Source organism: Homo sapiens, chromosome 20 (genome assembly GCF_000001405.40).
Source record: "Homo sapiens chromosome 20, GRCh38.p14 Primary Assembly".
Classification (NCBI taxonomy): domain Eukaryota; kingdom Metazoa; phylum Chordata; class Mammalia; order Primates; family Hominidae; genus Homo; species Homo sapiens.
The window spans coordinates 18,423,220-18,440,751 of NC_000020.11; the positions used below are offsets into that span (position 1 = coordinate 18,423,220).

General features: G+C 40.9%; 1 protein-coding gene and 1 pseudogene across 32 annotated transcripts in view; one reads left to right on the top strand and one right to left on the bottom strand.

The window, feature by feature from the left end:
* Positions 1–17,532, bottom strand: part of DZANK1 (double zinc ribbon and ankyrin repeat domains 1) — an 83,664-nt gene that overhangs the window by 39,853 nt on the left and 26,279 nt on the right. For 30 of the 32 annotated variants that reach the window (XR_007067462.1, NR_160274.1, NR_160273.1 and 27 more), the window contains 2 exons: positions 10,433–10,546; positions 3,848–3,940 (listed from right to left, as the gene is read on the bottom strand). Coding sequence is in view for 28 of the 32 variants with exons in the window: in NM_001367617.1 (NP_001354546.1) it covers positions 3,848–3,940; positions 10,433–10,546 (207 nt within the window). In the remaining 4 variants the exon portion in view is untranslated. Of the gene's footprint in view, positions 1–242; positions 3,305–3,847; positions 3,941–5,400; positions 9,711–10,432; positions 10,547–17,532 lie in introns of those variants that run through there. The other 2 variants (XM_047440253.1, XM_011529277.3) reach the window with 2 other exon arrangements.
* Positions 10,623–10,725, top strand: RNA5SP476 (RNA, 5S ribosomal pseudogene 476; annotated as a pseudogene).

The following is a 17,532-nucleotide window of genomic DNA, read 5'->3' on the forward strand; positions in this document are numbered from 1 at the left end:
AAAGTACTGTACATGCCATGATGCTAACACAACAATGAAACAACCTAACAATGCATTTCTCAGAATGTTTCCCTGTCATTAAGTGATGCATTACTATATTTGTGTGTTCTTCAATTTCCTTCATCAATGTTTTATAGTTTTTAATGTACAAGTCTTTCACTTCCTATAGTTGGAGCTTTCCAATACCCCGTTTTCATTATTTGCTAGAAAAACTAGACAAAAATAAGCAAAGATATATAATATCTGTGCAACATTCCACATTGATTTAATTGATATTTATAGAATACGCAACAATGACAGAACACACATTCTTTTCAAATGCACCTGATATGTTTTCCAAGTTAGATGCTGGGCCATAAAATAAACCTCATTAATTTAAAATAACTGAAATTATACAGAGTGTGCTCTCTGACCATTAATGGAATTAAATTTGACCTCAATAAGAGTAAGATAAGTAGAGAAAGTGCATATGTTTTGGAATCAAATAAATAAGTCATAGGTCAAAGAAGAAATCACTGATAAATGAGAAAATGTTTTAAACTGAATTATAATGAAAATACATAGGATGCTGCCAAAGAAGTTCTTAGAAATTTATAGTTTGTGTTAGAAAATAAGAAAAATTTGAAATGAATAATTTGAGTTCTCATCTTAAAAATTAGAAAAAGAAAATCAGATTAAACCCAAAGAAAAGAGAATAAATAAAGAGCAAAATAAAAAAAATAGGATTCAAAAAAATAGAGCAAATGAATTAACCAGAAGCTAGTTCTTTGAAAAGATCTAGCTAGATCTTGAAAAGATCAATAAAATTTACAAGCCAGACAGAGAGAGAAGGAATGATAAAGAAAGAACACACATATTACAAATATCAGGCATGAAAGAGGGGAATAGATCCTACATACATTAAAATGGTAAAAAGGGAATATCATGATTAAAATGATTGGTGATACCGGCCGGGCGCGGTGGCTCATGCCTGTAATCCCAGCACTTTGGGAGGCCAAGGCGGGTGGATCACCTGAGGTCAGTTGTTCAAAACCAGCCTGGCCAATATGGTGAAACCCCATCTCTACTAAAAATACAACAAAAAAATTAGTCAAGCATGGTGGCAGGCACCTGTAGTCCCAGCTACTTGGGAGGCTGAGGCAGGAGAATGGCTTGAACCCAGAAGGTGGAGGTTGCAGTGACCCAAGATTGTGCCACTGCACTCCAGCCTGGGCGACAGAGCAAGACTCCGTCTCAATAACAACAACAACAAAAAAAAAAAAAAAGAAAAGAAAAGAAAAAAATGACAGGTGATATCAAGTGTTGGAGATGATGCAGAGAAACTGGAACCTTTATATATTGCTAGTAGAAACACAAGTGATATGCCAGCAATATATGAATGTATACCACTTCTGTTCCTACCAGCAATATATGAAGGTTCCAGTTTCATATAGGGCAGTATCTTATAAAATTAAACATGCGTTTAAATAGGACCCAGCAATCCTACTCCTAGGTATTTACCTAAGAAAAATGAAAACTATGCCCACACAGAGATTTGCATGTAATGCAGCATTATTCATAGTGTGCCGGCACTGGAAACAGCATGAGTACCTGTGGATGAATCAACCAGTAGATCCATACTGAGGAATAGTACTCAACAATCAAAATGAAAAAAAAAATCAATACATGCAACAACATGAACGAACCTCAAAAACATTCTGCTAAGTGAAGGAAATGAAGCACTCACAAAAAACTACATACTTCCATAAAAGACAAAATCATAGTGTCAAAACAGATCTGTATTTTTTGGGTCTGGTGACCAGGGAAGTGGCTCAACTAGAAAGAAGAATGAGAAAACTTTTCAGGGTAAATAGAACTGTTAAATATCTTCATTGTGGTGGTAGTTAAAATGGCTATATATAATTACCAACATTCATCAAACTGTACAATTAAAATAGGTGAATTTTACTGCATATAAATCATATCTCAATAAAGCTGGAAACAAAAGGAGTTCCCTCAAATCAACTACTCTTAGACTGTCCGTGATTAGACGACATTAAAAGGTATCTTGTCAGAGGGCGCAGTGGCTCAAGCCTGTAATCCCAGCACTTTGTGGGGCCGAGTTGGGCGGATCACGAGGTCAGGCGTTTGAGACTAGCCTGGCCAACATGGTGAAACCCCGTTTCTACTAAAAATACAAAAATTAGCCAGGCGTGATGGCATGTGCCTGTAATCCCAGCTACTCAGGAGGCTGAGGCAGGAGAATCGCTTGAACCAGGGAGGCGGAGGTTGCAGTGAGCCGAGACTGCACCACTGCACCCCAGCCTGGGTGACAGAGTGAGACTCCATCTCAAAAAAAAAAAAAAAGGTATCTTGTCCAACTCCACTGCTATAGGTTGAATTCTGTCTGCCCAGAAAAAGATAAGTTGAAGTCCTAACTCTCAGTACCTCAGAATGGGACCTTATTTGGAAAAAGGTCTGTACAGAGGTAATCAAGTTAAAATGTGGTCATTAGGGTGGGCCCTAATCCAGTGTGACTGGTGTCCTTATGAAAAAGGGAAATCTGGACACAGTGGCATACACACACAGGCAGACACAGAGGGAGAGCTCCACGGGATGGCAAAGGCAGAGACTGGAGTGCTGCATCTAGAAGCCAAGGGAAGTTTGAGGCTACCAGAAGCTGGGAGAGAAGATGAAACTGTTCATTCCCTAGCACCTTCAGAGGGAGTGTGGCCCTGCCAACACCTTGATTTTAGACTTCTAGTCTCCAGAGCTGTAAGACAATAGATTTCTGTCGTTGTTAGCCACCTAGTTGATGGTGCTTAGGAAACTAGTACACACCCATTTGATACCGGTAGACCAGGGGTCCCCAACCCCCGGGCCATGGACTGTACTTATCTGTGGCTTGTTAGGAACCAGGCCACACAGCAGGAGGTGAGTGCTCCGCCTCCTATCAGATCAGCGGCAGCATTCGATTCTCATAGGAGTGCAAACCCTATTGTGAACTGTGCATGCGAGGGATCTAGGTTGCGCGTTCCTTATAAGAATCTAACTCATGACTGATGATCTGAGGAGGAGCAGTTTCATCCTGAATCCATCCCCCAACCAGGTCCGTGGAAAAATTGTCTTCTACAAAACTGGTCCCTGGTGCCAAAAAGGTTGGGGACCGCTGCTGTAGACCATAATAACCACATTGTCCAGTTTCATGAGGAATCTGTCCGAGATGAGAACAAACCTCACAAACAATCGGAAACATGCACAGCAACCCAAAAGAAGCAAGTTGGCTAGTAAGTGCCAGCTTCTTCCGGTACAAAGCAAGAGTCACCTGGAAGTAATTTTAATTTTCATCAGAAACGTTTTATAAACATAAAATAGATCATCACCGTATTTAAAGTGCATATACTCGTATTTCTTCCCTTCAACATTCAAAATAGGCTGGCAGGAAACCCAAGAAATAGGTGGCTACAATGTTCTCAATTTCAAAAAGCAGTGTGCATACAGAGTCAACGAAGACAATGGACTATGGGGTGTGGGAAGGTGGAGGGGATGACAAAGACATACCTGTCTGTAAATGAAATGTGAATGAGTTCACTTCCCCACAGGCTAATGCCAGCCTCCCATGCAAAGTTATTAAACAAAATCATAAGAAATTATTGATTTTACTGAATCCTCTTGAAGTTAAGACTTTGAAAACAATTTGTATTGATATAAAGTTCTCCCCACATATGGAAATCTTGCTTTCAGTTTACCATGAGAAGCTTTTTTTGGTCTCTCTCCCCAACCCCCTCGGCAGATTCTGTTTCTCTATTATCATTAACATTGACATAGTAGCCACTAAATATAGGATTGGCACATGCAATCAACCTACCTCTTGTGATGAAGGCAGGGCCCCCTCACAGGTGACACAGTATCTCAGGTGAGCAGGATTTCCTGTACCACAGGCCCGGCAAATTACCTTCTCCTTAACAACAAAAAATAAGACATACATGTTCCTCTGAGCAAACAACTGTGCAAAGAAATCATCAACCAGTCTTTTCTGTCAGTCATTCAGCTACAGGCCCTATTACTGCACCCAGGCCCTGAATACTGGATTGGTTTAGGAGTTACTGTAAATAGTGTCAGACAAATATCTGTAGGTTTTTTTGGGTTTTTTTTTTTCCATTTGTTTTTGTAGAGATGGGATCCGACTGTGTTGCCCAGTCTGGTGTCCAGCTCCTGGCCTCAAGTGATCCTCCCACTTCAGCCCCCTAAAGTGCTGGAATTATAGGTGTGAGCCACCATGCCCAGCCTGAATGTAGTTTTAAAAGAAACAAAACCACAAACAAACAAACAAACACACTGAAAAAAGTATTCGTTTGGTTTTCAAAAGGTAAGTTGGAAATTCTGCACTGGTTATGTGTAAGGTTGGGTGTGTGTGTGTGTGTGTGTGTGTGTGTGTGTTTCTCCAGTGTGAAAACCGTGACACTGAGTAGACGTTCCATTTCATGGCTTAAACAGTAAACAGAAAGACCCTAGACCAGCAAGGGATTATCTGTGTGTTTACAAGTAATCTGGTTCTTGGACTTGGGTTTACCCTCTGGGGCTTCATGTTAAATATGAATTTAGGTTTGCTCTGTAGTTTTTACTTAGAAATAGAAGAAGTGAAAAGACTGCCAAAGAAAGAGAGTAGTGGCTGGGTGCAGTGGCTCATGCCTGTAATCCCAGCACTTTGGGAGGCTGAGGCAGGCGGATCACAAGGTCAGGAGATTGAGACCATCCTGGCTAACACGGTGAAACCCCGTCTCTACTAAAAATACAAAAAAATTAGCCGAGTGTGGTGGTGGGCGCCTGTAGTCCCAGCTGCTGGGGAGGCTGAGGCAGGAGAATGGTGTGAACCCGGGAGGCGGAGCTTGCAGTGAGCTGAGACCGCGCCACTGCACACCAGCCTGGGTGACAGAGCAAGACTCCGTCTCAAAAAAAAAAAAAAGAAAGAGAGTGGTAAGTACAACTTAATTTTTTTCTTTTTTTTGAGACGGAATCTCCTTCTGTCACCCAGGCTGGCGTGCAGTGGCGAGATCTCAGCTCACTGCAACCTCTGCCTCCCGGGTTCAAGTGATTCTTCTGCCTCAGCCTCCCGAGTAGCTGGGACTAGAGGCGCATGCCACTACGCCTGGCTAATTTTTGTATTTTTAGTAGAGATGAGGTTTCGCCATATGGGTCAGGCTGGTCTCAAACTCCTGGCCTCGTGATCTGCCCACCTCAGGCTCCCAAAGTGCTGGGATTACAGGCGTGAGCCACCGTGCCCGGCCGTAAGTACAACTTTCTAAGCCAGGACCCTGGGGTTACACTGCAATACAGAGAAAAACAACAGACAAAGAAATGATGGTAAAAATAGTCTGGAGTTCAGCTATCAGAGGTTTTCTAACACGTTTAGTTACTGACCACTATTCTCTCAGGATACAATCTTTTTCCATTGATAATGACCAGTGGTGCTCAAGTGTTCCTTTCTAGTCCAGCACTGCGGTCCCTAGATGTCCTGAAACTAATATATCAAACAGTGTGTTCAGAAGCTGATACAGGTAAAGTGGATGATCAAGAAAAACAAAGCCCAGCTCCCAGGGTTTTATTTCCACTACCACCAGGTAGCTCTATGGAGTCTCAGCCTTTTAAAGTCTGGTTAACTCCATTTTAGTGGAAGATTCCAAAGTCTTCCTAGGCACTGAGCCAACGCACCACAGTTGCCAATCTAAACAACTCCTAAAGGGCAGAGGCCAACTGACTGCTATTAAAAATGGCAAAGAATCACACTCTTGCTCTCAATGGTTCCTGACACTCCCTGGGGGCCAACATTCTTCAAAGTTACTTAAAGTTGCCACAGCATAATCAGCAATTGGCCAGCATTTATCTATGAGATTTAGGGCTGTGACTTTCCTGAAAATGTTGCCTCAGAAAAGATCTGGTGAAACCCATTGAGAAATGAGACAAATTTCCTGTCTCCATGTTAAAAAATACTGAGATCAAATAAAAGTAATCTTTCTGTATGCTACAGAAAATACTTCCTCTAGGAAGAGAAAACTGGAGAACAACTAAAATTGCTTACTTCTCAAGTCCAACGGCTTCCTTCAAGACCTCACCTTGCAGGGCTCATAATCCAAAACTGCTTCTCATAACTTTGCCCAGTGCATACTCTGCCCAATCCCTGCCCTGCCTTACAAAACCCTGTTTTTTTAAATTTTAATTAATAAACTTTAAACTTTATTTTTAGAGCAGTTTAAGGTTCACAGCAAAATTGAGTGGAAATTACAGAAGATTCTCGTATACCCTGTCCCACGCCACAGACACGGCCTCCCCCACACTATGGACATCCCACACCCAAGTGGTACATTTGTCACAACCAATGAACATCACTGACACATCATTATCACCCGCAGCCCATGGTTTACATTAGGGTCCAGCACTCACTCCGTTTAAATACCTTTCCCTGCCCTCCTTCTTCTGAGATACTACTATGAACTTGTCTAAGTGATGGTCTACTTTACTGCGTCAGGTCTATTAAACGTAGTTTTCTTGGTTGACAGGTTTTTCTATGTTTTTATTTGTGGAGACTTTTGACACCATGCCATGGCTCACTTCTTTCTAGAGCAGTGACCACGACCCACAGTTAGAAATCATTTTATATCACAATCCACTATACTCATAAATTCACAGATGTCTGTGGCGGTGATTTGGAATTGAGGCTACCATCAGATGGCCTTAATGGGGATGGCAAACACCTATGATGAGAACTTTTAAAAAGTCAATATCCTCATTTGCTATTTCATCCACAGCCTTTGCAACATACTGAATAGTTGAATGATTCTAAGCTATTTAACAGAGCCACTTAGTCACTGGGATAAAACTTTTCCTTTTAAAATAGTTGGAAGAGGAGAACAATTTTCAAACTCCCAAGTGATAAGCTTTAAGTGACACAATTAAAAAGGAAGAATATTGAAAACAAACTAGTAGGTCATTGCAAACTTAATCTCAAAACTGACTAAGATAAAGTTCTGCTTGAGGTGGAGTTATGGTTACACTGGCCTTAACCCCAAATCACGGTGTGAGAGGCTGGGACTCACTGAAGGCACCTGTGACTCAGGCACAGGAATTATCAGATCTTTTCAGGAGTATTTCAGACCTAAGCCTCATAAATTCTAAGAACCATAAACATGACTGAAGTCCTGGAGGTATATTGCATGTTGCTCGTAAAATCCCAAAGGAAACTGTAGTAGCTCTTCTTGATAAATGTTTTTAGTTAACATCTTCTGGTGAACAGGGATGCTAAAATTAGTTTTCAACTTTAGAAAACGGCCAATGGAGGCCAGGTGCGGTGGCCCACGCCTGTAATCCCAGAACCTTGGGAGGCCAAGGTGGGAGGATCATGTGAGCTCAGGAGTTCCAGACCAGCCTGGGCAACAAGGTGAAACCCCATCTCTACAAAAAATAGAAAAATTAGCCTGGCGTGGTGGCATATGCCTGTGGTCTCAGCTACTTGGGGGCCTGAGGTAGGAGGATCACTTGATCCCGGGAGTTCAGGCTGCAATGAGCCATGATCGTGCCACTGCACTCCAGCCTAGGCGACAGAGTGAGATCCTGTCTCAAAAAAAATTAATAATAAAAATAAAAAAAGAAATGACCAATAGATGCATTTGTTAAGTGAAACAATTAAGTTGCGAGGAAAAGTATATAACATGATTTCATTTTGTTTAAAAAACCAAACCAAACCAAATCTAAATGTATGAATATACATAAATATGTTTCTGTGAATCTAGAAAAATACATAAAAGGACACTCTAAGCTGCTAACGTTGGTTATTTCAGAGAAATAGAAATGGAGGTAGAGTGAAGAAATTATACACTTTTTGGTATATCTTTGGATTATTTCATTTGTTACAAAAAATTAGGTATTAATTATTTTAAATAAATAAGTTGTAAAATCTTCTCTTATTCTGAAATAGGTATCTTTGCCAAAGGTCAAATACAGAAACTTCTGCTACTGTATCTTCTAATCCCGGCAGAAAAAAAAAAAAATCTGATAGAGCAAAATTCCTCAGCATTAACAGTGCCTTAAATCCACACAAGACTGCAACTACCATGGAATCTGTCTTCATCATAGAAGGAAGAGCGCAGATGGTGCTTTTGCACTCAGTGGAGTGAGCTAGAGACCAACGCAGAAAGGGGACGGGAGCTGTCAATGGCATGCTGCCGCCTGCCGGGAGGTAAGACTTGCTGACTTCCCTGAGCAGTTCACATGAGTATTCCCACCAACTTCAGAGGTGGCTGTCTGGGTGAGAATGTTATCTCAAAACCTGTCACCCTTATGACATCTGGGAGAGGCACTGGAATGAAGATTGTCAGGCCAGGGTTTCCAAACAGATGTCCTTCTGTGAGTAGAAGCAGTAATAGTGATTGTCTGGCATAAAAAGTCACACACTTCTCTCCAGCATCAGAGGTTATGATGATAAAAATCTCTCTACAAATCAAGTCTGGTTAAAACCTGTCCCCACTTTCAACCTTCAGGGCCCACAGGGAAAAATCTGAGCTACAAAGTCTGGTAGAGAAGGTGCCATCTCCTATAACCCACAGCACCCCAGCATTGTTGCAGCCCAGCAAAACCAAACTCCTTGCAAAGTTTTGAGGCACATTTTCTAAATCTCATCTTTGAATTCATTATTGATTTCCTCATTATATGTTCTAACTTTGTCTCACCTATGGAGTAGAAATAAGTTATCAAATTATTCCTATTATAACTTATTATGTCATAAAAATGTCTCTTATAAAAATTGCCCTGCAAGAAAGAGGCCATTCCTGGATTTAATGCTGCTTATCACTGTAGAAGTCCTGTGTTTATTCTCAATATAGGATTTACAACAAATTGAAGGGAAAAATTACTTACATGTACCTTTGTGTCTCTCTGCCTTCCCATAAAATGGGAAGAACTCTAGATTTCAAATACTGAAGATGATATTATATATATTGAGTTTGGGTCACAACTAACACTTACCCCTATTCTTCCTGTTCTGAATAGTCCAAAGAGTTTGCAGTGATATTATCTTCAAACATCCTGAATAAATGTATTAATAAGAATAGATTTGCTGTGCTTGACAGAACACCCAAAATAACACAGGCTTAAATAAGAGAAAAATAGATTTCTCTCTCCCATATATAAGAAGTCTGGAGAAAGACTTCCAGGACTGTATAGTGGCTTCCTGCAGTGGCTTTTTAAGCATCTTAAGATTGAAAATAGTCATTGAACAAAAAGATTAGTAAATTTTCCTCTACCTGACTTTGGCCTGGCCAGTTATTCAAAATCTCATTTCTGAAGGCTCACACAGCCTTGTACACTTGTGAACTCTTCATGCTAAAGGGAGCTTGAAGGTGAAAGAAAAAGTGGATTTATCTTTTCTCTGAATACATTTTGCCCATATACAACCCACAAGGCCATTTTAGGAGTGTTATGGCCTGTACATAATGCCATGCATTTCCCTTATTGCTAAAAATTCTTAGTTTTTTAATCCCCCAAATTCCCTCTATTAAATCTATTTTATCCTCTAGTGACCTTTACTTGGGATTAAAGAGGAAGTAAATGGGACTGTAAATTGAAGAATGGAGAAAATATTTAGTTGTATGTTTAAAGATTCTATCAAAAAAATGTTCACAGTATGATATCATTTTTTGAGCAAAGTTTTTTGGATGTAAGTGATGATACATAACTTTTTCTTCCATGTGACTAGTTCTAGTCATTCTTTTTCTCCATAACAAGAACCTATAATCAAATAAGGCAAACAAAAGTATGAGCCACTTTAAGGACAAAATTATAAATCAACACTAACTGCAATGTTGGAGTTTAAATATATGAAGTAAAAAATTGTCTTTGTTAGCTGTAGTGCAATTTGCCCTCCAAATCCATGTTCAGGGAATACAATCCTACATATCTCTCTTAATATTATAGATCCTATTGGCAAATTAAACTCTTGGACAGCATACCTTACTAAAAATAGAATGGATTTTGTTCATGTATATTAGCTTATCAATTGTTACCCCATCCTGGCGGGCATGGTGGCTTATGCCTGTAATCCAGCACTTTGGGAGGCTGAGGTGGGCGCATCACCTGAGGTCAGGAGTTTGAGACCAGCCTGGCCAAGATGATGAAACCCCATGTCTACTAAAAATATAAAAATTAGCCATGCGTGGTGGTGCACGCCTGTAGTTCCAGCTACTCAGGAGGCTGAGGCAGGAGAATCACTTGAACTGAGGAGGCGGAGGTTGCAGTGAGCTGAGATTGCGCTACTGCACTCCAGCCTGTGTGACAGAACAAGATTCTGTCTCAAAAAAAAAAAAAAATTGTTACCCCATCCCACTAGCTGAAAAAGGACATATACCTGTTCAAACATTACTATGTATTTCATTCATGTTTTTACAGAATCACATTTCATTACCTTCAAGTGGAGGCTTGCCTGTGGCTGCAGCTGTAGAGCAAGAGGGGCCTCACACACCACACAGATGGGAGTGTTCATGGGTACCAAGCTTCTGCATTCTGCACACAAGCCCATCTGCACAAGGAAAAGGTCTGGTTTATCTTGCACATAAAAACTGAAGGTATGAATAGATCTTAGAATGTAAGGTTTGGTCTACAGCCGTACCACCCTGAACATTCCCGATCTCATCTGATCTCAAAACCTAGGCAGGTCGGGCTTGGTTAGTACTTGGTGGAAGAATGTAAAGTTTGATTTGTTTTTGTAAAACAATTTTTTAAATAATTACCTTTATGATGGATATGCTAATTACTCTGATTTGACCACTACACATTATTTGTATCAAATAACACTATGTACCCCATAAATATGTACAATTACTATGTGTCAATTAAAAAGTAAATAATAGAAAATAAAATAACAATTACTTTTATTATTTTATTCCTATTAAGAGTAAAAACATGTTCATTGTAGAAAAGAGAGATGTTAAAAAAAAAAAGAAAAATATCCATAGGAAATTGTAGCATGATGGAATGAGGAGGTCTATAAATCCTCTTCCCCAAAAATGAATCACAGGCTGGGTGCGGTGGCTCATGCCTGTAACCCCAACACTTTGGGAGGCCGAGGTGGGTGGATCATCTAAGGTCAGGAGTTTGAGACCAGCCTGGTCAACATAGTGAAACCCCAGCTCTACTAAAAATACAAAAATTAGCTGGGCGTAGTGGCGGGCGCCTATAATCCCAGCTACTTGGGAGGCTGAGGCAAGAGAATCACTTGAAGCCAGGAGGCAGAGGTTGTAGTGAGCCGAGATCGCCTCACTGCACTCCAGCCTGGGTGACAAGAGCGAGACTCCTGCTCAAAAAAAAAAAAAAAAAAAAAAGGAATCACACAGTCAGATACTGCTGTCAAAAAGCAACCACTTCAGCACCCTGAAGTCATTGAAAGGCAGATAACAAACAGAAGTTCCTAAAAATGACTGAACTGCAGAAAAGAACACTAAGCTCTGGGTGGTTGTTGCCTGGGCTGCCCCCTCCTTCTCTAACTCTGTCAGTGTGGTAGTTCCACCAGGGCAGGGCAGGCTGTGAAAACCAGAAGTTTTGTGGCTGCTGATGGGCAAGGATCACTTGATTTAGAGCACTGTTAAGGTGACGATTTTGGTGGCAAGCAAACAAGGAAGACCAGTGGTCCCCTAGTCTGAGATAATGAGCCTGTTTGGGGTAATCGATGCACTGACTGGCAAACTGGCCAAGGATTTAACATGGAGTTCCAGGAGGTAATTCAATGATAGGGGCTTGATAGCTCTCCACATAGCCTTAGTTGACAGGAGGCTATGCACATAAGCAACATAAACCAGAGTAGGCCCAAGCCACCCACACCGCCCTGGCTGATGGGAACTACACATAGAGAACTGCAAGAGAGCTCGGCATAGAGTAAAAGCTGGGGCTGGAAAACAGCCTTGAGTTTCAATGTTACCCAGCCAACACACAGATCCATCAGCAGGGAGTGGAGGCTTTCCTGGATGGAGCTGCCTGTGTACAATCTCTGGCCAACTGAACACTAAGATATGCTGACCCAAAGGTAAACATCAGGCTTAAATATAAGAGAAAGGAAAAGCTGCTGCTCTACTATTTACGACAGCAAAGTCTTGGAACCAACCCAAATGCCCATCAATGATAGACTGGATAAAGAAAATGTGGCACATATGCACCATGGAATACTGTGCAGCCACAAAAAAGAACGAGTTCATGTCCTTTGCAGGGACATGGATGAAGCTGGAAGCCATCGTTCTCAGCAAACTAACACAGGAACAGAAAACCAAACACTGCATGTTTTCACTCATAAGTGGGAGTTGAACAATGAGAACACATGGACACAGGGAGAGGAACATCACACACCGGGGTCTGTCGGGGGTGGGGGGCAAGAGGAGGAAAAGCATTAGGACAAATACCTAATGCATGTGGGGCTTAAAACCTAGATGATGGGTTGATGGGTGCAGCAAACCACCATGGCACATGTACACCTATGTAACAAACCTGCATGTTCTGCACATGTATCCCAGAACTTAAAAGTATAATTAAAAAAAAAAAAAGCTGCTTCTCTGTCTATGGAGTAACCATTCTTTTGTTTCTTTACTTCTCTAATTAAGAAAAAAAATTTAAAAAAAATAAAAAGCCTGACACTAGTGGCCATGCCTTGCAGGGGAGGCAGACATTAAAGATTTAATCCAAGTAAACAAAACACAAAACAACAACCCTCGGGGAAAAAAGTCAGAATCCAGAGTTGCTAGAATATACTACCTGACGCAGTCAAGAAAAAACTTATGAGACATGCAAAAAATAAAGTGACCTACACTCAGAGGAAAAATAGTCAATAGTCCACAGAAATTATCTCTGAGTGCCTTTACATGCTGGATTTAGTAGACAAAGATTTCAAAGCAGCTATTTTTAAAAAATGTTCAAAGAACTAAAGGAAACCACATTTGATAAAAATTAAAGTATGATGACAATGATCTGACTGGTAGGGAAGCACAATAGAGAGACAGAAATTATTTTTTTAAAAAAAGAATTCAGTCAAAGCCTGGAGTTGAAAAGTAAAGTAACTGAAATTCTAAAAATCGCCAGAGGCGGGCGCCTGTAGTCCCAGCTACTTGGGAGGCTGAGGCAGGAGAATGGCGTGAACCCGGGAGGCGGAGCTTGCAGTGAGCCGAGATCGTACCACTGCACTCCAGCCTGGGGGACAGAGCGAGACTCCATCTCAAAAAAAAAAAAAAAAAATCACCAGAGCGACTCAACAGCAGATCGCATAACAGAAGAAAGAATCAGTGAACTTGAACAAATAGCTCAACAGAAATTATCTAATCTGAAGAACAGAGAAAAAAGACTGAAGAAAATAAGCAGAACATCAAAAACGTATGGGGCAAAATCAAGCACAGCAACAAGTAAGGGAAAGAGAGAAAGGAACAGAAAAAGAATGGAAGAAACAATGGCCAATATTTCCCACACTGGAGGAAAACCAATACTCAGCACATCCAATAAGCTCAGTCAATCCCAAGAAAGACAAACACAAAGAGACCCACACTTAAACACATTATAATCAGACTGTTGAAGGTCAAAGACAAAGAGAAAATACTGAAAGTAGCAAGAGAAAAAACCACGCATCAAAAACAATGGAGGGCAAAAGGCAGTAGAATGACAAATTCAAAGAGCTGAAAGAGAAAATAATTGCTAAACCAGAATTACATCTGCAGCAAACCATCCTTCAAAAATGAAGGCAAAATAAACATTCTGACGTACACAAAGACAGAGAGAAATGGCTATCAGGCATGCCTTACAAGAAAAACTGAAGGAAGTTCTTCAGGCTGAAAGGAAATGACACTAGATGATCACTTGAGTTCACAGGAGGAAGTGAGAAGACCAGATATAATAAATATGAGGGCAGATACAAATGACTCCATAGAACTTTTATCTCATCTTCTTTAAATGACATAAGATTGTATAACACCGCATTTTTCAGTTTATAACATATATAGAAGCAATATTTATGGTTATTACATAAAAGATAAAGAAAGGAGGACGATACTTAAGCAATGTTAAGAAAAAGAAAGAAAGGGGCCGGGTGCGATGGCTCACACTTGTAATTCCAGCACTTTGGGAGGCCAAGGCAGGCGGATCACTTGAGGTCAGGAGTTCAAGACCAGCCTGGCCAATATGGTGAAGCCCTATCTCTATGAAAAATACAAAAATTAGCTGGGCATGGTGGTGCACACCTGTAATCCCAGCAACTCAGGAGGCTAAGACAGGAGAATCACTTGAACCCAGGAGGCAGAGGTTGCAGTGAGCCGAGATTGTGCCACTGCGCTCACTCCAGCCTGGATGACAGAGGGAGACTCTGTCTCAAAGAAAAGAAAAAAAAGAAAAGAAAAGAAAAAGAAAGAGGAAAGGAGTGAAATTTCTATATTTCAGTAGAATTGAGTTAAATTACTCTAAAATGGACTGTGATATACCCCATCTTCCATGATGTGGTTATTATATATTACATGCCTGTATCAAAACATCTCATGTACCCATAAATATATACACCAACTATGTATCCACAAAAATTAAAAATCAAAATTAAATAAAATAGAATGTGATAAATTGAGGTCCATATTGTAATCTCTAGAGCTTAAGATAACTTTAAAAATAATAAAAAAGTCAACAGAAGCATTAAAATGGCACACTAAAAGTAACACAAAAGAAATAACACAAAAGGCCGGGTGCGGTGGCTCACGCCTGTAATCCCAGCACTTTGGGAGGCCGAGGCGGGCGGATCATGAGGTCAGGAGATCGAGACCATCCTGGCTAACATGGTGAAACCCCGTCTCTACTAAAAATACAAAAAAATTGGCCAGGCATGGTGGCAGGTGCTTCTAGTCCCAGCTACTCGGGAGGCTGAGGCAGGAGAATGGCGTGAACCTGGGAGGCGGAGCTTGCAGTGAGCTGAGATCATGTCACTGCACTCCAGCCTGGGTGACAGAGTGAGACTCTGTCTCAAAAAAAAAAAAAAAAAAAAAGAAATAACACAAAAGAAAGCAGTAAACGAGGGAAAAAGTAACAAAAAAGCCATGATACAAATAGCAAATAGCAAAATGGCATATGTAAATTTAACCACATCAATAATGACATTAAATAGGAATTGACTAAATATCACATTCAAAAGGCAAGGTTATTCAGAATGGATAAAAAAGCAAGATCCAACTACATGCTGTCTACTAGAAACACACCTTAAATTCAAAGACACAAATAGATTGAAAGTAAAAGCACAGAAAAGGCCTTACAATGCAAACAGTAACCATAAAAGAGCTAGAGTAGCTACATAAATATCAGAGAATAAAGGACTTTAAGAAATATTAGCATAGACAAAGAGAGACATTTGGGGATGATAAGAAGGTCAATAGTCAGGAAGATAGAACAATTATAAGTGTATATGACTGTATTAGTCTGTTCAGGCTGTGATAACAAAACACCATAAAGTGGGTGGCTTGTAAACAACACAAATTTATTTCTCAGAGTTTTGGAGCCTGAGAAGTCCAAGATCAGGATGCCAGCGAATTCAGTATCAGGTGAGGGCTTGCCCTCTGCTTCACAGATGGTACCTTCTGTGTCTTCATATGGTGGAAGGCAAACAAGCTCCTTTGAGCCTCTCTTATAAGGGCACTAATCCCATTCATAAGGGGTTCATCATCACGACCTAATTACCTCCCAAAGACCCAACCTTCTAACACCATCACCTTGGGGGTTGGGATTTCAACATACGAATTTTGGCCAAGACACAAAGATTCAATCCATAGCATGGACATAACAACAAACCCCCAAAATACATGAAGCAAAAACTACAAGTCAGAGTTGAGGTTAAGGTTCCATCTATCACCTGCGCACCTAAAGTCCCAGCTTTACTGGGGGACCACAGTGGTGTTCTGAATCTCTAAGAATTAGCATGAATTTAGAGCCAGTATCTAGAAATCCCTCAAAGATTTGGGCATTTCCTTTTCCCCACTGCACAGTCACTCAATTGAAAGCAACAAGTCCCCTTGGGGAAGCGTTCAAGGAAGACTTATGATATGTACTTGCAAAGCTCCAGGGTCCTTCCCTAAGGAGATCCAGTCTCCCCTTAAATCAAGAGACTGAATTTGTGAACTGATTTATGTCTGGAAACTGGGGGAGGAACTTGGTTGCTCCAATGCAGTGATTCAAGTCAGTTTTTAGCTACATGACCTAGCATTTTTCAATTATATAGACCAGGCGATACACTAGAAGGCTGCCCGTCTATCATTCCTAGGAATGCCATGTCAGATTCCTCTTACTGAAACATCATTACTGTCCTTGTCTTTGGCAGTTAAGTGCTGCCACTTAACTTCTGCTACTCTGGGATCTCACTAGCTCTAATGAGATCAGGGAACTCCTCTAAATAGCAGCATCCCCCACGATCATATCTGGCCTACAAAGGAAAGCAGCCACAGAACTTTTTAAGGATGCAGCTGCTCCTCTCACTAATGTATTCCTTGATATCTTAGTGATGGAAGTGTCTTCTGGGCCTTCTTGTGAAACATAGGTAAGAGTTAGGGATGCAGGACACAGGTATCAACCCCACTCCAACTTTCCTATTTGCCTAAGTCTCTGTATTCCCTGCTCCACATGATGCTGGGTGTTAGGGACTAAACTGTGCCCCCCAGAATTCATTATATTGAAGCCCCAGCCCCCAATGTGATTGTATTTGGAGATAGGTCCTTTAAGGAGGTAATTAAGGTTAAATGAGGTCATTACAGTGGGACTTTGATCCAATATGACTGATGTCTTTATAAGAAGAGGAAGAGACACCAGGGTTGTGTACCCAGAGGAAAGGCCAAGTAAGGACACATCAGGAAGGCAGCCGTCTGAAAGCTGAGGAGAGAAGCCTCACCAGAAACCAAACCTGCTGGCGCCTTGATCTTAAACTTCCAGCCTGCAGAACTATGAGAAAATAAATTTCTGTTCTTTAAGCCACACAGTCTGTGGGGTTTTGCTGTGGCAACCTTAGCAAACTGATATACCTGGGAAACTTCTGCTATCCCAATCTCATTAAACACAGGCCACTACTGAGGCCAAGCTTTAAGCAGTCAACCAAGCAAGCTGTTATAGCCACCGCAGCTGCATTATCTAACACATTAAACCCAGAATCTCTATAAGGTGTGCACATATCAATGAATTTATACCAATTTCAAGTCATATTGTCTTCATTTAAAATCTAATCCCACACTTATTCCCCAAGACTCTGTCACTATATATTAGTAAAATCTTCCTCTTCTTTGTGTGTGTAAGTTATTTCCTCCTGGATCACAGCATGCACCTGTCCTCCTGTAGCATGCTGGGTTGGGTCCCTAGAATGCAACAGGTGGTTGTGATGGGTTTAAACCACCCACAACCCCCTGTGAGGAGAATAAACATCCCCTTTCAAGCCATCTGCCCAGGTGAGGTTATCACAAACATTTCAAGAAAACGAAGGCTGGTATCCTCAGACAGAAGGGCATCCTCAGACATAAGGGCAAA